The 21,763-nt window shown below is 46.6% G+C and overlaps 1 protein-coding gene across 2 annotated transcripts in view, besides 5 other annotated features; it reads right to left on the bottom strand.

Annotated features, from left to right (window-relative positions):
* TCF7L1 (transcription factor 7 like 1) overlaps positions 1 to 7,672 on the bottom strand; it is a 176,996-nt gene extending 169,324 nt beyond the window's left edge. For both annotated transcript variants that reach the window (XM_006712109.3, NM_031283.3), the window contains exons 1-3: positions 7,131 to 7,672; positions 6,985 to 7,048; positions 6,614 to 6,741 (exon numbers count right to left, since the gene is read on the bottom strand). In XM_006712109.3, coding sequence (XP_006712172.1) covers positions 6,614 to 6,741; positions 6,985 to 7,048; positions 7,131 to 7,379 — 441 coding nt within the window. In that variant the 5' untranslated portion in view covers positions 7,380 to 7,672. The remainder of the gene's footprint in view (positions 1 to 6,613; positions 6,742 to 6,984; positions 7,049 to 7,130) is intronic.
* Positions 5,339 to 5,912: an enhancer, noted in NCBI's record as "OCT4-NANOG-H3K27ac hESC enhancer chr2:85362275-85362848 (GRCh37/hg19 assembly coordinates)". NCBI's record gives its function as "activates a minimal SCP1, AML or CMV promoter by ChIP-STARR-seq in naive and primed H9 embryonic stem cells {active_cell/tissue: H9 hESC(naive and primed)}" and the evidence as "EXISTENCE:reporter gene assay evidence [ECO:0000049][PMID:30033119]".
* Positions 5,913 to 6,487: an enhancer, noted in NCBI's record as "OCT4-NANOG-H3K27ac-H3K4me1 hESC enhancer chr2:85361700-85362274 (GRCh37/hg19 assembly coordinates)". NCBI's record gives its function as "activates a minimal SCP1, AML or CMV promoter by ChIP-STARR-seq in naive and primed H9 embryonic stem cells {active_cell/tissue: H9 hESC(naive and primed)}" and the evidence as "EXISTENCE:reporter gene assay evidence [ECO:0000049][PMID:30033119]".
* Positions 7,063 to 7,637: an enhancer, noted in NCBI's record as "NANOG-H3K27ac-H3K4me1 hESC enhancer chr2:85360550-85361124 (GRCh37/hg19 assembly coordinates)". NCBI's record gives its function as "activates a minimal SCP1, AML or CMV promoter by ChIP-STARR-seq in naive H9 embryonic stem cells {active_cell/tissue: H9 hESC(naive)}" and the evidence as "EXISTENCE:reporter gene assay evidence [ECO:0000049][PMID:30033119]".
* Positions 8,003 to 8,072: a silencer, noted in NCBI's record as "silent region_11694". NCBI's record gives its function as "represses an Ori minimal core promoter by ATAC-STARR-seq in GM12878 lymphoblastoid cells {active_cell/tissue: GM12878}" and the evidence as "EXISTENCE:reporter gene assay evidence [ECO:0000049][PMID:35858748]".
* Positions 20,634 to 21,233: an enhancer, noted in NCBI's record as "OCT4-NANOG hESC enhancer chr2:85346954-85347553 (GRCh37/hg19 assembly coordinates)". NCBI's record gives its function as "activates a minimal SCP1, AML or CMV promoter by ChIP-STARR-seq in naive and primed H9 embryonic stem cells {active_cell/tissue: H9 hESC(naive and primed)}" and the evidence as "EXISTENCE:reporter gene assay evidence [ECO:0000049][PMID:30033119]".

Raw genomic sequence — 21,763 nt, 5'->3', positions numbered from 1 at the left:
TCCTTCTGCCACAGCCTCCTGAGTAGCTGGGATTACAGGCACAAGCCACAGCATCTGGCTCAAAAGCTCCTCTTGACTCCTCGATCTTCTTGTCCCCTCTCTCTCTGTGGCATCTAACACCAAGGACACTCTCTTTTCTTTCTCTCTTCTGTCTCTCTCTCTCTTTCGCTCTTATTGCCCAGGCTGGATTCTTTCTTCCTTTCAGATGGAGTTTCACTCTTGTTGCCCAGGTTGGAGTGCAATGGTGCGATCTCAGCTCACTGCAACCTCTGCCTCCCAGGTTAAAGCAATTCTCCTGCCTCAGCCTCCCAAGTAGCTGGGATACAGGTGCCGCCTCCTGGGTTCAAGTGATTCTCCTACCTCAGCCTCCTGAGTACCCGGGATTACAGGCACCTGCCACCACGCCCAGCTGATTTCTGTATTTTTAGTAGAGACAGGGTTTCCACTGTGTTTGCCAGGCTGATCTCGAACTCCTGACCTCAGGTGATCCACCCGCCTTGACCTCCCAAAGAGCTGGGATTACAGACATGAGCCACTGCACCTGGCCTCCCACTTTCTTTCCCTCCAGCTTCCACCATGGAGGAAAAGAAAGGGGGAGGGGAGTCCCTAAGTGCTTCTCCTACCTTACCCAATGCTCCCTTCCATCCTCCTCCAACGACTTCTGTCCCTGCTCTAAGCATCCCTTCTCCTACTTCTATACCTCTCTTACATCAGCCAGTTTCAATCATCCCCTCAACATCCCCTCACACCTAACGTGTCTCCAATGAAACCGAGGGTTCCTCCCAATGAGAGCCTCTCATAGACTGTGTGGGCTCTGTCATCGCCAAAATATTCAGTAAGCATCTGTCCACCACTGGGGAGGTAGAGACTGGGGAGGCCTCCCCACCCACAGAAGTCAGTCTCCAGGTGCCTGAGCTTGGACACCAGGAATTAACTGTGACATCAGCCACTTTCTGGATCTGGTACCTCCCCTCCCCAAAGAGGTACAGACAAGAATCCTATTTCCTCCCATCCCACCTTTCCTTTCCACTCTGCTACTCTGAAGCCCTTTTCACCTCACCCCTGACTCCTGTGAGTCTAATTGCTCTATCCCCTTCCAGGTCCTCGTCCTCCAATCCACCATTATCTTTCTAGCCATGTGTACAAGTCACATCACTTCCCAGCCTAACTTCTGATGGTTCTCTGCTGCCTCTTAAATAAGATCAGATTCCTTCCATGGCATTCTAGGTCCCCTAGCCCATGTCCTGGCCCCTTCTCCTTCCAGGCAAATGGAACTGAAATAAGCTGCATTACCCCCAAATCGCCCTGAACTTTTCCTTCCTCCATGTCTTCACTCTCCTGGTCCTGGCTCCCACCTCAAGATGAGAGTGAAGGAAGACTTCCACTTTTTCACTCTAAATGCCTCCTCTTACTATTTACATTCTTCTAAATTAACAAGAATTACCTGGATTAAAGAATGACTGAGTTTTAAGGACCAGTTTAAACCTACTTCTTCGACCTGCCTTCTTGGATCACCCAGGAAGTAATTTTTCTCAATTTCTATTATGAAAATGCTTCTCCAGACTTTACTACCTCTTAACTTCTTATTACAGTGCTACCATGACTTCTTTCCTACTTAATTTTTAAATCCTTTAGGGCAAAGCCTGGGTCTTATCTTGTTTCCCATGGTCCCTTAGCCATTGCCCATGATAGGTATCCAATAGACTTCAGTTGAAGAAGTTTAAGAGTTAGGAATTAGTTTTAAGAGTGCAAATCTAGGCTGGGCGCAGTGGCTCACGCCTGTAATCCCAGCACTTTGGGAGGCCGAGACAGGTGGATCACGAGGTCAGGAGTTCGAGACCAGCCTGGCCAACATGGTGAAACCCTGTCTCTACTAAAAATACAAAAATTGGCTGGGCGTGGTGGCACGCACCTGTAATCCCAGCTACTCAGGAGGCTGAGGCAGGAGAATCACTTGAACCCAGGAGGTGGAGGTTGCAGTGAGCCAAGATCACACCACTACACTCCAGCCTGGGCGACAGAGTGAGACCCTGTCTAAAAAAAGAAAGAAAAGAAAAAAAAAAAGAAAAGTGTAAATCTAAATTTCCCTAGGTTGGCATGTAAAAGGTGTCTCTAAATTAGAATGTAAGTAGGGCCTTCCTATTATAGAAGATTTAAAAGATTTTCCAGCGAGTTAATCATTTATACTCTTTTTTATTTCCCAATTATTTTAGTAACACTGCACATCACTGTAAAGGCTGGAATACGCTGTTAGATTGGGTGGGGGTGTGTGTGTATGTTTTGCTTCCCTTTTCTTCAAGAATCCCTAAAAGTGTGATCAATGAAGAATGTGACCAAACTATAACCTTCCAAACTTATAACAAATCAAGTCAGCTATTCCCTGCCCAATCCACCCAACCAAAGAAAAAAGATTGACAGGTTCCCAGTCCTTCCCTACAGAGTTTGTCACCAATATCACCCCAGCAATCCAAGGGCGAAAACTTCAGCAACACAGGCCCTCTCAAAAGCTTGTTCCATGTGAAAAGCCCTCATTAAACTCTGAGTTATATTTAGAAAAAAAAATGAAACAGAAGTTATATTTAGATGAAATGGCTCAAAAGAATTTTACCAAAAGCAGCATGTTTATACTGATCTTCCAAAAGAAAAGGTTTCCTTAGCTTTTACATACAACTCCTAAAAACAGACAACTTCTTCATACATATACATACAAAGATTTCTGCTTGGGTTCCTTTGGGTCTGAAAGAACAGGAGCTCCCAGGATATGAGCAAGACTGCCCATGGGAAGCAGTGGGATATAAAGGACTTAAAAATGAGCACGCGTTTGAGGACCAGGACAATTTCATACACAAGCCTGAGATGAGATGGTCTGAGAAATAATAAAGCAAAGCCTTTCGTGTGCTTGTGCTGAACGAAAGAGGTTCTGTAATTTATAAGATGGACACAAAAACCACAGACTCCCTCAGCAATACTACCTAGAAGTGTTTCTTTCCAAAATGTCATCAGCCCTCACTTCATGGTCACAGTCAAATTACTTTCTATCACATTGTAGCTGGCTTGCTGAACCACATTCAACATTTTCTTTTTGGCTCTTCTTTGTCTTAAACCATTTTTGGCATTCACTTTCTAATGTGTTGACTTACATTTTCTTTCTTTCTTTTTTTTTTTTTTTTTGAGGCAGAGTCTCACTCTGTTGCCCAGACTGGAGTGAAGTGGCACAATCTCAGCTCATTGCAACCTCTGCCTCCCGGGTTTAAGAGATTCTCATGCCTCAGTCTCCAATGTAGCTGGAATTGCAGGTGCTCGCCAGCACGCCTGGCTAATTTTTGTATTTTTAGTACAGATGGGGTTTCACCATGTTGGCCAGGCTGGTCTCGAACTCCCGACCTCAGGTGATCCGCCCGCCTTGGCCTCCCAAAGTGCTGGGATTACAGGCCTAAGCCACCGCACCCAGCCAACTTACATTTTCCTAACAAAATTCTAGGCAACAGCCCCAAAGTAGTTTAGTAAACCGTGAAGCCTTTTCAGAAATGAATGTATAATTTTGAGGTGATTATTTGAAAAATGGTTTGTGGCAGTTATTCCTCTCTTCACAGGGTCCCAGGGCCTCCAGACAAGAAGCAATTGCAGCTCACAGAGACTTGGCCCACATCCCATGCTGAGGGGACCTCTTCTCTAAAGAGCCTCAGGAAAAAGCCACTTCCCAGCATCCCAGCCAAACCAGAGTGGAGGGCAAGGGTGATGGCTCATGGGGAGAGATGGCCAGACTGTAGGATGGGCCAGCCCCCAGTGGTCTCAGCAGGAATTATGCCAGTGGGTGAGGCTGCTGAAGCCTCCTGCCTGCTATTCCTAGGGTTCATTAACACCCTGAAAACAATCCAGACAATTCCCACTTCTGCATCTGGCTTGGTATTTCCAGAGGAAGTGTTAGAGCAGCAGATAACTGGGGTCACCTAATTTTATACTACCTCTAGGCCTTAGAGCAGCAAAGCCTAAAGTGGTGCAGTTTAGAGGCCAAACAATAAAAAAGACCTAAGATGTCAGAGAGATCGGATCATATATCCCAGGCACTTTCCTCCCTCCTCCCTCCCCACTCGTATCTATCCACATTCATTTTACCAGGCTGGGAAACCAACAGAGGGCCACTTTGTCTGTACCTACCATTTGCCTACAGTGACAATTATCTTAATTATATTAATAGAATCGTTCAGCAGAAAACCATCATCTCCACCCTATAGTCCAGACAACCAAGTGCTTAAGTGTTTCCTCACTTGCTTTACTTACTGGCAGCAAACGAACAGGGTCAAATTAGGTTTAACTGTGCTGACCTAAGGGCAGGACACTTCCCCAGTATATCCGTGAACTAACACAGCGAAAGGCACACAGAGACACAGAAACACTGGGAACTGAACTAACTTCTGTAAGGGCAAGTCACCAGGGAGACAAGATGTAGGTATGGGGGTGGGATGGGACATACTAAGTCCCCAAGAAAGTACATGTCCTAGGAGGCTTGAAAGGAGGCTGGTGCCTGGGCCAGGGCAGGGAACAACTGCAGAGATGAACAAGGACAGTCAGAGAGGCATGCAGAGACGAAAGGTTGGCTGCCTCAAGGAGGGGCTCCAAAATCCCACACGGGCCTGGATTTAGTAATCAGGAATCTCCAGGATCAGCAAGAATCAGCCTTTGGAAGTTCTTAGGCGAAAGAACACATAATGTGATAGAAGGAAGGAAGGAGGGGACACTAACAAAAATCTGTCTCACTTGGACTGTCAGAGAGAGCAGACAGCAGAGCCTGGATGAATCAAAATGCCCTAAAGAGAAATGGGTGCATGGAGAAATAGCCTTGAGGGAGCCATAGTCATATTTGATGGTGAAATAGTCATTTCTGGTGACTTTAACTGCATCAGGACTTGGCTGAGGGCTGATGCACAGATGCTAGTGCCTCCCAGACCCCTCTCTCTAGATATCCTAATAGTAAATGGAAACCTGAGACTTTAGCGGCATTAACTCTCCCCCATACGCAAAGTTACACGAATCCCAACAAAACTTGCAGAACTAAGCTACATGTGTGGGCACTGGTGGGAATCACTGAAAACCTAAATAAGACCGCAGCAGCTCGTTGATCCCCCCCCCCCTTTGATTGGCACGCACCTCTTTTCTTTTAATGAGAAAAAGCAACAGCCATAGACCCACATCCAGTTTTCACTGCAAAACTGACACTTACATTCAGGACTTCCTGGGGTGCTCCAGGCCAGCAGGGCCAAAGCTGCAAGACCTCCCTCCCTCTCGGGGCAAAACTGTGAGGTCTGTGTAGTCCCACTCCCCATTCCCCTCTCTCTCAGTCAGAGTCTCTTCCACCGCCCCCCGTCAATCCCCCTCCAACCCATCTGGTGATGGTAGCGCCCCCGCTGAACCAAATGTGGAGGACTTGGCTCTCCACCGACCGCTGTACAATGACAGCAGGAATGGCCATTCAGCACCTAGCCTTTCTCTAGCACCCTTTAATTATCGTCGTTATTTTAGGGCAGTCTTAGCATAAAGTGTGTTGCTGGGACCCTGCTCCTAAGAGGCTAACACTCCCTGCCCCCTTACCCACCGTCGACAGCGAAGTGGCAGGCAATGGGAATCTGGGCGGGAAGCAAAGAACTACTACGATTCACATCGCGCCCAAGCAGCAGCACGCGGGAACCTGGCACACAGTAGGTAGGCGTTCACCCAACATCTGTCATCGGACCCAGCACCTGGGCAGGGAGCCTAGGGGTGGAGTGGCGGCTTGGGGGACACAAAGGCCTCGCCAGCCCCCAGCTGCGCCCCTCGCAACGCGGGGGGCGGGAGTTTAGAGCCAGAGAGAGGGGGCGAAGGAATCCGCCCTCATTTGCACGTCGTCTGGGGCCCGGTCAATTTGCTTAATCACCGCTCTAAATGCCAGCGGGCAGCACACAATACGCGCCCATTAACAGGTTTAAAGTGTCGCAGCGCTCGCTTTAAATGAGAAAAGCAGGCGACAAAAGGGGGAAAAAGCCAAGTTCCTCAACTTGAAGAATGCCTTGGGTCGCCTCGAAATCATCTACGCGAGTTTAAAATTCGGAGCTAGCTCCGCAGAAAAGCTGAGGCCCCGGTGCGAGGGCTGGGGGTGGGAACGGGGGCTGTGAATAACCCGCCACGAAAACTGGGTTTCTTAGGAACCAGCCTGCAGCCGCCCAGTGAACCCGGAGTCGGAGGACAACGTCGCCAACCCAGCTCCCTAGGCCCCTTGCCCCACTGCCAGAGAAAGCTGACCGATTTCCAAGAAGGAAAGCGAGACCCCCCCAAAGCGGGCACAAATCCAAGTTTCCTTCGGTGCAGGCGAAGAATTCTGGAGGCCAAGGAAGATCCCAGAGGTGGACTCCAAAACCTCAACCCGCAAGAGGGGAAAAGTTAAAGTAACTTTACTTTCATCCAGGCACTGGCCAGCGCAGCCTCGCGCTCGGCCGCCAGAGAGTAGTTCAACTCCGCAAACAAGTTCTGCTTGGGATCGGCGCAGAAGGCCCCATCCCCCACTCCATGGCCAAGCCCGGGGGCGCATCCTGCGGGCCGCGGCCTCCCACCCTCCCCGGCGCGCCCGACGGGCACTCACGGTGCGCGCTCCTCCGGGAGACAGGGGTCCGTTGGAGAGGTACGGGCTGCTCAGGTCCGGGATCATCAGGAAGGGGTACCCAGGGTACGGGGGTCCTTTAAAGAACGCGCTGTCCTGAGGCCTTCTCACTGCGAACAAGACCAAGGCGAGGTGAGGCCCAGGCCCCCGGGACTGACAGCGCCGCGGCAGGGGGCTCGAGGCGGGAGCTGGGGACCCCAGCGCCCCCCACGCGCGCCCCACGGGGGCTGCCGCCAATAAAGGCGGAGGGCAAGGGTGCGTCCACCCAAGCAAGGGGGACGGTGGGCCGCCCGGGCTGAGCAGCGGAGCGCAGCGGGAATCGAGAGTGGGGGGCTGTCCCAGCGGGCACATACCTTCGGCGAAATAGTCCCGCGGCTTCTGGAAAGTGTCCCGGACGGGCTGCGGGCGCCTCTCCGCCTGCGGAGGAGACACAAAGGCAAGAGCGGGTGAGCGGACGCAGGGCCGGGATCCCCCGGGGGTGGCCGCGGTGCTTCCTTACCTCCGAGTCCGAGCTGCTGCTCTGGTTCTCCGACTCGTTGACCAGGGACGACTTGACCTCGTCTAGGTCCCGCTGCGCCGAGGCGCTATCGCTGCTCGGCTCCTGCTCCTCGCCCCCCTCGTCCTGGAAGGGGATCAGCTCGTCGTTCGCCCCGAGGTCGTCCCCTCCGCCGGCCGCCCCGGCGCTGGAGCCGCCGCCTCCCCCGCTGCCGCCGCCGCCGCCGCCGCCCCCGCCGCCGAGCTGGGGCATGGTGGGGCCGCGGGCCGGGGCCGCCGCTCTCGGAGCCCCTAGCCGCCCGCGCCCTGCCCGGCCCGGCCCGGCGCCCCTCCCGCCCGCTTGCGGGCCCGCTGCGCTAGCCGCCGCAACAAAGTTTGACAGGGCGTGGCCCCGCGGGAAGCGGGCCCGGCGCTGCCCGGCCGGGGCGCAGGCGGCTCGGCTCGGGCCCCTCCGGCAGCGCCGAGCCTAGGGCTCCCCAACTCGCCACCGCCGCCGCCTGCTCCGCCGGGGCGTCCCAGCCCCTGGCCCGCCGGGGAGGGGCGAGCGGGGAGGGAGGGAGGAGGGACCGCCGGGCTGGGCAGGGGGGCCGGAGGGAGGAGCCCCGGCTGCAAGCTGACACCCGCGCGCCTCGCGGAACCCGGAGAGCTGCGGTGCGCGCGCACACACACACATACACACGCACTCACACTCACACGTTCACACTCGCATCTTCCAGGGGCTGCGTCTCCCTGCAACGTGCACCGCCCCCAACCCCCTCCTGCGCCTCACACTGCACCCTCGGCGGCCCTCCCCACGGCCTCCCTGGAGTCCTGGAAGTCTTGCGCCCACCCCTCCGCATCCCCTAACTTTCTCCCAAAGAACCTCCAGAACTCCGCGCAGGTTCCCACCCCCTCCCACCGTATCGGCGCGCGGGCGGGCGGCACTGCCCCCTGCGGGAAAGCCTCGGACGCACATACTGGCCGCGGGGCCCTCCCCCTGCCTAGAGTCCCTCCGAGTGCGCGAGCTGATGCACGGACTAGGACACTGGGGACATCTATGGAACCCCGGAAAATGCCCGGCGGCTTTCCGCGCCTTTTTCCTGTGGGGTTCCAACGCGACCCCCGGCCCAGGTTTTCAACCTTGTACAGATATACAGATTTCCCTGCTGAAATCTTGAAGATCACCTTTTCTTCATTGTTTGGGACTAGGTCCTAAATCGAAAAATCGCGGTCTTGGGTTCCAAAAGAATTTGGATTTGGTTCATTGAGAGGGAAAATTGCCTGTCCAGTGATCTCCGAAGCCATTCACAAAGCTGCGTGAGTAGCCAGTGAACACGAGAAAAATGCTCAACCAGCCTCATACCTAAGTAATGCCTGTGGTGCGAGCGCCACGGCCCGCGCCTGGAGTTCCATCTACTCCCGAGGCCTAGGCAGGAGGATCGCTGGAGCCCAGGAGTTTGAGACCAGCCTGGGCAACATAGCAAGACCTTGTCTCCAAAAAAAAAATTTTTTTAATAAAGAAATGCCTGTTACAATGACATTAAGATGTCGTTTCTCTCCAACCTGTGCGGGAAAGTTTGAGGAAAATGAATATCTTGTGTTATCCTCCGTGGGGAACTATTAGAGCATAAACTTTGAAAACAGCTTGGAAGGCAGTATGGAACTATGTAAAACTATTTTCAGCCCAACTGGCAGAAGAGTTTCTACAGAGGTGCCCGCACATATGGGCAAAGCCACATATGCTAGGTTCAAAGCATCAGAGAGCTTGGTGACATGCATTCTTCATCTTTCTTTACAGTGACAGTCCATGCAGCTGGCCAGTTCTATGCAGTGTCCCCGCCCCTCCCCCCACCCATACACACACACACACACACACACACACACACACACACACACACACACACAGGCACATGGACCAAGATTGATTTTGGAGGAACATCTTTAAATGAAACACTATATATGACACTCACTATTTTATTTTTGTTTTTAAAAAAATTATACACATTTATTTCTGCGTAGAAAAAAATCTGAGAAGATGCAAATTATTATCAATGACTATTTCTGGGAAAGGATAAGTGAAAGGAGATAGTTTTCTGGTTTCTATGAACTTTATAACAAGCAGATATGCCTTTTCTAATTTTTTACACAATACATGAGTACAGTCTCATAAAGCGTTTTCAAATAACAGATGTATCTTGAGCAGTATCGAGTAACAAGTAAAAGTTCCTCTTTCCCCCTCAGGACACAGGACCCTTCTAATTAACCACTTTCAGTTAACTGCCTCTGGTTAACCACTGTCACTAGTTTGGTATATATCCTTCCAGACACTTTCCTAGGCAGTTATGAACATATGTAAACGTATTTACAGATATTCTGATGTACATACATAGAATCATACTCTTTGTATTATTGTGTGTTATTTTATTTTTATAAGATTTAAAAGTCAGACGATTTTTCATGTTTATGGTCCATAAATATATGAAAAACCTATTGTACTAGTTTTCTGCTGCTACTGTCACAAATCACGAAAACTTGGTGGCTTAAAACAACAGAAGTTTATCCTCTCATAGTTGTGGAAGACAGAAGTCCACTGTCAGTTTCACTGAGTAGAAATGGAGGTGTTGACGGGGCCATGCTCCCTCTGGAGGCTCCGAAAAGAATCTACCCTTGTCTCTTGCAGCTTCTGGGGGCTTGTGACCACATCACTCCCACCCTTGCGTCTGTAATCACATTGCCTTCTCCTTTTTTTGTCTGTGACAAATTTTCCTCTGCCCCCTTCTTGTAAGAAACCATACTTGTGGCCGGGCACAGTGGCTCACGCCTGTAATCCCAGCTCTTTGGGAAACCAAGGCAGGTGGATCACGAGGTCAGGAGTTCCAGACCAGCCTGGCCAACATGGTGAAACCCTGTCTCTACCAAAAATACAAAAAATTGGCCAGGTGTGGTGGCAGGCGCCTGTAATCCCCGCTACTTGGGAGGCTGAGGCAGGAGAATCGCTTGAATTTGGAGGGAGGAGGTTGCAGTGAGCTGAGATGGCACCACTGCACTCCGGCCTTGGCGACAGAGTGAGACTCTGTCTCAAAAAAAAAAAAAAAAAAAAAAAAGTGATACTTGTGATAGCATTTAAGGACCACCTGGATAACCTGTCCATGTCAAAATCCTTAACTTCATATCTGCAAAGACCTCTTTTCCTTAAACATTCACAGTTTCCAGGGATTAGGTCATAGATGCAGCTTTGGGAGTAAGCCATTATCAGCCTGCCACACCTATAAACCAGAAATGCAAACGGAAACAGCATTGAGATAACCAGTTTTCATCTGTCAGATTGGCAAAGGAAGAAAAGAATGGTAACACCCAGCATTGGCCCCTATACTAAGAAGCACATAGATGCTGGGCCATTGTGTAACAGTTCTAAAGAGAAGTTTGGTAATACCTGTGAAATACCTTTAAAAGTGTGAACCCTTTGACTTATCCACGTACTTCTAGGATTTTATCTGAAGGAAACAACTAGGTACAAAAATAAACCTGTAGAAGTGTGTTCATCACAGTGAAAAAATCTAGAAACAATTTCAATGTCCCCTATAGGGAATTATTAAGTTAAATCATGGTGCATTCATCTAATGGAATGTTATGACATTGTGGAGATATATTTGTCAATATAGAAGGAGGCTCATAATGGTAAGCAAAAGTAGCAAATTAAAATTAACATGTAGACTTCCACTTCCCATTCTAATGGGGTATTGATGTCAGATTGACTCCTTCATCAAGAACAACTAACTATAAACTGGATAAAATACCAAAATAAAACAACAAAACCCAGCTGAGTTGAAGGCATCACTGTCAACCAAGTCAGCCAGGACGTGAGGAGTCAAAATACCAGAAGGGAAATTCATTCAAGCGAGTTTGTATTCACTGCTGTTTCATCCCCTCAGAGAATTTGGTGATTTGTAGCACCAGGCATAGAGGCCAAACCAAAAACAACCATCTAGAGCAGCATACTACAGCTTGCTGCCTGTTTTTGAATGGTCTCAGCTAAGACTTTTTTTTTTTACTTTTTTTTTTTTTTTTTTGAGACGGAGTTTCACTCTTGTTGCCCAGACTGGAGTGCAATGGTGCCATCTCGGCTCACTGCAACCTCCACCTCCCGAGTTCAAGCAATTTTCCTGCTTCAGCCTCCTGAGTAGCTGGGAATGTAGGCATGCACCACCACGCCCGGCTAATTTTGTATTTTTAGTAGAGACGGGGTTTCTCCATGTTGACCAGGCTGGTCTCGAATTCCTGACCTCAGGTGATCCGCCCAAGTGCTGGTTTTACAGGTGTGAGCCACGTCGCCCGGCCGCTTTTTTTACATTTTTAAGTGGTTGAAAAAGATCATAAGGGCCAGGCGCAGTGGCTCACGGCTGTAATCCCAGCACTTTGGGAGGCCGAGGCGGGTGGATCACCTGAGGTCAGAAATTCAAGACCATCCTGGTCAACACGGTGAAACCCCGTCTCTACTAAAAATACAAAAAATTAGCCGGTCGTGGTGGCGGGCGCCTGTAATCCCAGCTACTCAGGAGGCTGAGGCAGGAGAATGGCGTGAACCCGGGAGACGGAGCTTGCAGTGAGCCGAGATCGTGCCACTGCACTCCAGCCTGGGCGACAGAGCGAGACTCCGTTTCAAAAAAAAAAAAAAAAAAAAAATTAGCCAGGCGTGGTAGCAGATGCCTGTAACCCGGGAGGCGGAGGTTGCAGTGAGCCGAGATCGCGCCGTTGCGCTCCAGCCTGGGCAACAAGAGCGAAATTTTGTCCCAAAAAATAAAAATAAAAATAAGGATAATATTTATGACACATGAAAATTATATGAAATTCAAATATCAGTGTTGATAAAGTTTTATTGGAACATAGCCATACTCCTTAGCCTATACATTGCCAATGGCTGCTTTCACAAAACAATGATGGAGTTTAGGACATGTATTGCTTAATGATAGGGATACATTCTGAGAAATAGGCAATTTCATTGCTCTGTGAACATATGGAGTATACACAAACCTAGGTGGTATAGCCTACTACACACCTAGAGTATATGGTATAGCCTGTTTCTCCTAGGTTACAAACCTGTTCACCATGTTACTGTACTGAATACTGCAGGTAACTGTAATACATTGGTACGTGTGTATCCAAACATATGTAAAGATAGAAAAGGCACAGTAAAAATATAGTATTACAATTTTATGGGACCCTATCATGTATGTGATCCCTCATTGACCAAAACTTTGTTATATGGTGCCTGACTGTAGTTGCAACAGGGACAGTATATGCTCTTATCACTTCATACTGCTGCTCAGTACACCACAAATCACGGTGATACAGTGTTTTCAGTGCCATGCATATCTCTGTACTGCGACATTTATTTTAAATTTTTATTACCAGGGCATATCCATTATGTCAAAACAAGAAAAGAAAAGTAGATGTATTCATCCGTTGCCACACTACTATAAAGAAGTACCTGAGACTGGGTAATTTATGAAGAAAAGAGGTTTAATTGACTCACAGTTCCACAGGCTTAACAGGAAGCATGACTGGAAAGCCTCAGGAAACTTACAGTCATGGCAGAAGGTGAAGGGGAAGCAAGCGACTTCTTCACATGGTGGCAGGAGAGAGAGACAGAGAGGAAGCGCTACACATTTTCAAACAACCAGATCTCGTAAGAACTCTACCATGAGAACAGCAAGAAAGAAGGTCCCCCTGCCCCGTGATTCAGTCACCTCCACGAGGCCCCTCCTTCAACTCATGGGGATTACAATGCAACATGAGATTTGGATGGAGACACAGAGCCAAACCATATCAGTAGACTATGAATTTTGTGCTTTGAAGGCACAGTGAAGTATGGATTATTTTATTAGCAAATTAGGTGACAAAGCGTTGTGTTTAGTATGCAACAACAGCAGTTATGCTAAGAGAACATATGTCAACATCACGAGAGTAAGCACTCATCAACAATTTTCCCAACTGAGAGGAAAGGAATGACCAGAAAAATTTAAAAATTGAAATCAAGCGGGGCGCGGTGGCTCACGCCTGTAATCCCAGCACTTTGGGAGGCTGAGGCAGGTGGATTGCCTGAGGTCAGGAGTTCGAGACCAGCCTGGCCAAGATAGTGAAACCCTGTCTCTACTAAAAATACAAAAAATTAGCTGGGCATGGTGGCGGGCACCTGTAATCCCAGCTACTAGGGAGGCTGAGGCAGGAGAATCGCTTGAACCCAGGAGGCGGAGGTTGCAGTGAGCCAAGATCACACCATTGTACTCCACCCTAGGCAACAAGAGCGAAACTCCATCTCAAAAAAAAATTGAAATCAGAATATCTAATCACAGCAAAATTTCTTCACAAAGTAAGTGTCCTAGAGGCTCATTTGTTAGTAAAGCAAGGAGAGCTATTAACTGATGGTGACTTAATTAAATTGTACTCAAGAGCAGTAGCCACAGAAATATGTCCAGAGAAAATAAACTTGCCTTTCACCATTGCTAAAAGAGTTTAGGACATTGAAAATAACATCAATAGTCAATGGGGATTGGGTGCAGTGGCTCACCTGTAATCCCAGCACTTTGGGAGGCCGAGGCAGGCAGATCACCTGAGGTCAGGAGTTTGAGACCAGCCTGGCCAACATGGCAAAACCTTATCTCTACTAAAAATACAAAAATTAGCCGGATGTGGTGGCGCACACTTGCAATCTGAACTACTCAGGAGGCTGAGGCAGGATAACTGCTTGAACCCGGAAGGTGGAGGTTGCAGTGAGCTGAGATTGTGCCACTGCACTCCAGCCTGGGCGACAGAGCGAGACTCCATCTCAAAAATAAATAAAATAAAATAAAATACATGACAACAATAGGACAAAAGGCAGAGGGGGGATATGGCATTGAACCAAACTAAGGTTGTCTGAGAAGTCGTGAAAGTAGGAATTTAAAGTACACTCTAGTAGGCCAGGCGTGGTGGCCCATGCCTGTAATCCCAGCACTTTGGAAGGCTGAGGGTGGTGGATCACTTGAGGTCAGGAGTTTGAGACCAGCCTGGCCAACATGTCGAAACCCCGTATCTACTAAAAATACAAAAATTAACTGGGCATGGTGGCGCACACCTGTAATCTCAGTTGCTAGGAGGGCTGGAGCAGGAGAATTGCTTGAACCCAGAAGGCAGAGGTTGCAGTGAGCCGAGATTGTGTCACTGCACTCCAGCCTGGGAGAGAGAACAAGACTCTGTCTCAATAAATAAATAAATAAATAAGGTGCACTCTAGTAAGTCAAGAATGCATGTGTTCATCCCTAGAATAACACTCACTGAATAATTAAAGAATGTATAACTGGCTGGGTGTGGTGGCTCACACGTGTAATCCCAGCACTTTGGGTGGCCTAGGCAGGTGGTCAGAAGTTCGAGACCAGCCTGATCAACACGGTGAAACCCCTTCTCTATTAAAAATACAAAAATTAGCCAGGCATGGTGGCACACACCTGTGGTCCCAGCTATCTGGGAGGCTGAGGTAGGAGAATCACTTGAACCCAGGAGGCAGAGGTTGCAGTGAGCCGAGATTGTGCCACTGCATTCCAGCCTGGGTGACAGAGGGAGGCTTTGTCTCAAAAAAAAAAAAAAAAAGAAAAGAATATTACTAACAAACTAATGAGCAAGAAAGAAGAAAGGAGACAAAAATTAAAGAACAAATGAGACAAATAAAAATATATTAAAATGATACAGTCAAAATTTCAGTAATTATTTTAAATGTATATGATCTAAACACTCCAAATTTAAAGACAAGATTTTTAGAGTATATTTTTAAAAAGCAGCTATCTGCTGCTTACAAAAGCTACACCCTTGAGGTGATGACAAATCAGGTTGAAAGTAAAAAGAGGGAGAAGGATAAACATAAAAAATGCTAACCTAAAGAAAGCTGATTAGCTGGGCACGGTGGCTCATGCCTGTAATCCTAGCACTTTGGGAGGTTAAGGCGGGCAGATCACGAGGTCAAGAGATCGAGACCCTCCTGGCCAATATGGTGAAACCCTGTCTCTACTAAAAATACAAAAATTAGCTGGGTGTGTTGGCATGCGCCTGTAGTCCCAGCTACTCGGGAGGCGGAGGCAGGAGAATCACTTGAACTCAGGAGGCAGAGGTTGCAGTGAGACAAGATCGTGCCACTGCACTCCAGCCTGGCGACAGAGTGAGACATCGTCTCAAAAATAAATAAATAAATAAAAGAAAGCAAGCTGATTAGGCCGAGTGCAGTGGCTCCCGCCTGTAATCCCAGCACTTTAGGAGGCTGAGGCAGGTGGATCATTTGAGGCCAGGAGTTCAAGACCAGCCTAGCCAAGATGGTGAAACCTCATCTCTACTAAAAAAATTAAAATTAGGTGGGCATGGTGATACATGCCTGTAATCCCAGCTACTCAGGAGGCTGAAGCAGGAGAATTGCTTGAAACCATTAGGCAGCAAGATTCCGCCATTGCATTCCAGATTTCAGCCTGGGCAACAGAGTAAGACTCCGGGGATAGCGTGGGGGAAGAAAGCTGATTTATCTATACTAATGTTAGATGAAGTAGGCTTTAAAACAAAAATATTAGTAGAAATAAGTGGGACATTTCATCATGATAAAAGGGGAAGATAAAAATAACTCAAAATTTTCATTTACCTAATAACATAGTTTCAAAAATATGCGTAAAAACAGAACGAAAAGGAGAAGTAGACAAAACTACAATCATAGCTGGCAATTTTAATATAACTCTTTCTGTAACTGACCAAACAAGCCACAAAAAATCAACAAAAATATAGAAGACTTGAACAATGCAATTAACAAACTTGACGTATATAGAAAACATTGCAACAACAACTGCAGAATCCATATGCTTTTTTTTTTTTTAATTGAGATGGAGTCTCACTCTGTCACCCAGGCTGGAGGGCAGTGGTGTGATCTCAGCTCACTGCAACCTCCGCCGCCCCGGTTCAAGCAATTCCTCAGCCTCCCGAGTAGCTGGGATTACAGGTGCGTGCCACCACGCCCAGCTAATTTTTGTATTTTTAGTAGAGACAAGGTTTCACCATGTTTGCCAGGCTGGTCTCGAACTCCTGGCCTCAAGTGATCCACGCACCTCGGCCTCCCAAAGTGCTGGGATTACAGGTGTGAGCCACTGCGCCCCGCCTCTATATGCTTTTTAAGTGCACATGCAAATTTCAAAGAATGGCCATGCAGAGTATGTTTTTTGACCACAGTGGAGATAAACTAAAAAGCAATTTTAAGGCCGGGCGTGGTGGCTCATGCCTGTAATCCCCGCACTTTGGGAGGCCGAGGCGGGCGGATCACGAGGTCAGGAGATCGAGACCATCCTGGCCTAACATGGTGAAAACCTGTCTCTACTAAAAAATACAAAAAATTAGCCTGGTGTGGTGGCGGGTGCCTGTAGTCCCAGCTACTCGGGAGACTGAGGCAGGAGAATGGCGTGAATCTGGGAGGCGGGGCTTGCAGTGAGCCGAGATCATGCCACTACACTCCAGCCTGGGAGACAGAGCAAAGACTCCATCTCAAAAAAAGCAATTTTAAAAGAAAATAGGCAATTTGAATATCCGAAAAATTTGGAAATTATGCAAATATATTCCATTTTATTTATTTAAAATAAAATATATATATATATTTTATTTTTGGGGACGGTGTCTCACTCTGTCGCCAAGCTGGAGTGCAGTGGCGTGATCTTGGCTCACTGCAACCTCCACCTCCTGGGTTCAAGTGATTCCCCTGCCTCAGCCTCCCAAGTAGCTGGGACTATAGGCACGTGCCACCACACCCGGCTAATTTTTGTATTTTTAGTAGAGACAGGGTTTCACCGTGTTGGTCAGGATGGTCTCAATCTCCTGACCTCGTGATCCGCCCGACTCGGCCTCCCAAAGTACTGGGATTACAGGCGTGAGCCATCGCGCCCGGCCCTATTTTAAAATTTAATTTAATTTAATTTTTTGAGACAGACTCTCTGTTGCCCAGGCAGGAGCGCAGCGGCACGATCTCGGCTCACTACAACCTCCGCTTCCCAGGTTAAAGCGATTCTCTTGCCTCAGCCTCCCGAGTAGCTGGGATTACAGGCATGTGCCACCACGCCTGGCTAATTTTTGTATATATACATTTTTTTAGTACAGACGGGGTTTGGCCATGTTAGTCAGGCTGGTTTGGAACTCCAGGCCTTAAGTGATCCGCCTACCTCGGCCTCCCAAAGTGCTGAGATTACAGGTGTGAGCCACTGCCTGTATATATACTTATTAAGTGCACATGCAAATTTCAAAGAATTGCCATGCAGAGTATGTTTTTTGACCACAATGAAGATAAGCTAATAAGCAATTTTAAAAGAAAACAAAAAATTTGAATATCCCTACAATTTTGGAAATTATGCAAATATATTCCATTTTATTTATTTAAAAATAAAATATATTTTTAAAGAGAAAAGGTATAGTACCATAATGAAAGGGGACCATAAAACACAAAATATATCAATACTTAAGTAGTAAAAGGATATTATGAACAACTATGCTAATAAATTTGAAAATTTATACGAATGAACAAATTCCTTAAAAAACTTGACCTCGACTCACATAAGAACTGAAAAATCTGAATAGGTCTATTATTGTTAAATAAGTGGAATGTGGCAAGGTGCCGTGGCTTACACCTGTATTCCTAAGAGTTTGAGAGGCTGAGGTGGGAGGACTCCTTGAGGCCAGAAGTTTGGAAGCAGTCTGTGCAGATTGGGAGACCCCACCTCTACAGAAAATTTAAAAATTAGCCAGATGTGTTGGTGAGCACCTCTAGTCCCAGCTACTTGTTGGGGGCTGAGAGGGGAGCATCACTTGAGCCTAGGCGGCTGAGGCTTCAGTGAGCTGTGATTGTGCCACCGTCCTACAGCCTAGGCAACAGAGAGACCCTGTCTGGAAAAAAAAAAAAAAAGAAATCCATAATTTAAAATTTTCCTACAATATAATTGTACACCCAGATGGCTTCGTTGATTAATTCTTCTAAACTTTCAAAGAAACAAATAACACAATCTGTTATGGGTTGAATTGTGTCCCTTCCAAAAATGGATATGTTGAAGTCTTAACCCCCAGTATCTCAGAATTCCAAATGTGAGTACATTTGGAGATAGGGCATTGCAGATGCTATTCATTAAAATGAGGTCACGCTGGAGCGCCTAAACCAATATGACTTGAGTCCTTATAAGAAGACAACCATGCGAAGACAGAATGCCAGGTGAAGATGGAGGCCATGTATCTGTGAGCCAGGAAACACTGAGGATTGGCTTCACCGGAAGCCACAAGAGAGGCATGGAGCAGATCCTCCCTCAGAGCCTTCACAGAAGGAACCAACGCTACTGCTCCTTGATTTTGGACTTCCAACCTCCACAACTATGAGGGAATATATTTCTGTTGTTTTAAGCAGCCCAATTTGCAGTACTTTGTTACAACAGCCTAGGGATACTAATACACAATTTTATAGAAACTCTTCCAGAGAAGAGAAAAAGCAGAAATACTCATTTTGTAAGTTCAACATAATCTTGATACAACAACTAAAAAATATAAGAAAAGAAAATTACAAGCCAGTCTTTCTCATTACCATATATGCAAATATACAAAATAAAAAAAATTTTTTTTTGAGACAGAGACTCACTCTGTCACCCAGGCTGGAGTGTCACTCTGTCACCCAGGCTGGAGTGCAGTGGTGCGATCTCAGCTCACTACAACCTCTACCTCCCAGGTTCAAGCCATTCTCATGCCTCAGTCACCCAAGTAGCTGGGATTACAGGCGTGCACCACCACACCCAGCTAATTTTTTTGTATTTAGTAGAGACAGGTTTTCACCATGTTGGCCAGGCTGGTCTTGAACTCCCAGCCTAAAGTGATCTGATTGCCTCGGCCCCTCAAAGTGCTGAGATCATAGGCATGAGGCACTGTGCCCGGTCAAAATAATATATTATTATACTGGATTCAGCTATATATAAAAAATGAATAGAGCTGAGTGCAGTGTCTCAGGCCTGTAATCCCAGTTACTCAGAAGGTCAAGGCTTGAGGCCAGGTGTTCAAGACCAGCTTGGGTGACATAGGGAGATCCCAGCTCTAAATAAATTAATTAAATAAAAATTTTAAATATAAATAAAAAGAATAGTAAGTCATGATAAATTGGATTTATTCCAAGACTGACAATTCATTTATCATTCAAAAATATAATCAATATAATTTACCACAATTATAGAATAAAGGAGAAAAACTATATGATCACTTCAATAGATACTATTATTTTATATAATTCAGTATCTATGTATAGTTTTTTAAAAATAAAAGCTCTTGGCAAACTAGAAATATCAGGAATTTCTGTAATAAGGTAAAGGTTGTCAATCAAAAAAATACAGTAAATATGCTTGATGGAATATTGAAAACTTTCCCTTTCAGATTGGGAATAAGAAAAGGATGCTTGCTAACATCACTTCTATTCAGATTTATGATAGGAGCTCTTAGACAATACAACAAGGCAAGCAAAATAATGAAAAAGGGCTGGGTGCGGTGGCTTACGCCTGTAATCCTAGCACTTTGGGAGGGTGAGATGGGCGGATAACTTGAGGTCAGGAGTTCGAGACCAGCCTGACCAACATGGTGAAACCCCATTTCTACTAAAAATACAAAAATTAGCCGGGTGTTGTGGTGCACACCTGTAATCCTAGCTACTCAGGAGGCTGAGGCAGGAGAATTGCTCGAACCCGGGAGCTGGAGGTTGTAGTTAGCTAAGATTGCACCACTGCACTCCAGCCTGGGCAACAGAGTGACTCCATCTCAAAAAATAAAATAATAATAAAAAAAAAAAGAGGCTGGGTGCGGTGGCTCACACTTGTAATCCCAGCACTTTGGGAGGCCAAGCGGGGAGGATCACCTGAGGTCAGGAGTTCAGCCTGGCTAACATGACGAAACCCCGTCTCTACTAAAAATACAAAAATTAGTGGGGCATGGTGACATGCGCTTGTAATCCCAGCTACTCGGGAGGCTGAGGCGAGAGAATTGCTTGAACCCAGGAGGAGGTTGCAGTGAGCTGTTTCACCATTGCACTGCAGCCTGGGTGACAAGAGCGAAACTCTGTCTCAAAAGAATGAAAAGGTATATTATATTAGTTGGAAGGGAAGAAATAAAACTCATTATTTTCAGACAATATGATTTGTATGTAGGAAAATGTAAAAGAATTCATAAACTATTAGAATTAAGTGAATTTAGCAAAATCTCTCTATAGATCAATATAACAAATATCAATTGTATTTCTACATACTAGCAATCAACAATGAGAAAAATCCAATAAATGATATCATTTAGATAGCATCAAAATTTACCAAATCCCAGAAATAATTTCAACAAAAATATGCAAGTCATCTACATAGAAAACTAAAAGTATTACTCATGGGAATTAAAGAAGACTTCAACAGAAAGAAAAGGTAGGAATATTCTGTTTTCATCAACTGGAATATTTAATATTATAAAAATGTTAATTCTATTCAAATTGATGAATAGATTCAATATAAACCCAATTAAAAAACCGTGTGTGTGTGTGTGTGTGTTTGTGTGTATAAACTGACAAGCTGATTCTACAATAGATATGTGTATTAATCATGTTTTTTATTTTCTGTATGTTATTAATCTTTTAGATCCTGGAGGCCTTGCTGACCTGGGAGAGACTGCCCCTCTCAGGGCTAGCTAATTCCTAGAAATAGCAAATGGCTTTCCTGTGAGGGAGCTTTTCAGATGCAAAACAACCAATCCAGAGCCCATACCCTCCAACCTCCTCCTTTGTTGCACTCTCACAGGGCTCTTACTCCTCAATATTCTCCTTCCCTAATCACCCCAGGGCTAGGTACCAGACAGCTCAGGACCACTCCTGCTCCCTGGAGCCTACTGAATTTATTCAAACTAGCCAATGCCAGTCCTTCTTAGCCTGTAACTGCCTCTCCCATACTACCTGTGAAAACCACAAAAAAGGCTCCTACCCATGCTTTCTCCTCATTTCTGCCTCCTAACTGGCCATGGTGCTTCCCCACGTGGCCCTGTATGGTGTGGCATACCCCTTCTTCTTGGGCACGGTGAATAACAAATTATCTTTTCAATGGCAGTTGTTCCTTAATCTGTCAGTCTCACCAAACCTGAATAATAATAAAACCTACATTTTAAAACAATATGGCATGTAGAAGGCTAAAAATAGCATAGATGACTTTGAAGAACAAAACCTGAACACTTACACTAACAGATTTTTTTTTTTTTTTTTTTTTTTTTAGACAGTCTTAAGCTGTCCCCTAGGCTGGAGTGCAGTGATACAATCTCAGCTCACTGCAACCTCTGCCTCCCGGGTTCCACTGATTCTCCTGCCTCAACCTCAACCTCCCCAGTAGCTGGGACTACAGGTGTCCACCACCATACCTGGCTAGTTTTTGTATTTTTAGTAGAGACAGGGTTTCTTTCACCACGTTGGCCAGGCTGGTCTCGAACTCCTGACCTCTAATGATCTACCCACCTCGGTCTCCCAAAGTGCTGGCATTATAAGCATGAGCCACCGCACCCACCCTGCACTAAAAGATTTTAAGACTTGTTAGAAATGTACAGTGCCCCTTCTTGGTGCTAGTCTAGACAATT

This window comes from Homo sapiens, chromosome 2, assembly GCF_000001405.40.
Source record: "Homo sapiens chromosome 2, GRCh38.p14 Primary Assembly".
In the NCBI taxonomy this organism is placed as follows: domain Eukaryota; kingdom Metazoa; phylum Chordata; class Mammalia; order Primates; family Hominidae; genus Homo; species Homo sapiens.
Note: the sequence above shows the minus strand (reverse complement) of the source record. Positions and strands in the feature narration are given on the sequence as shown.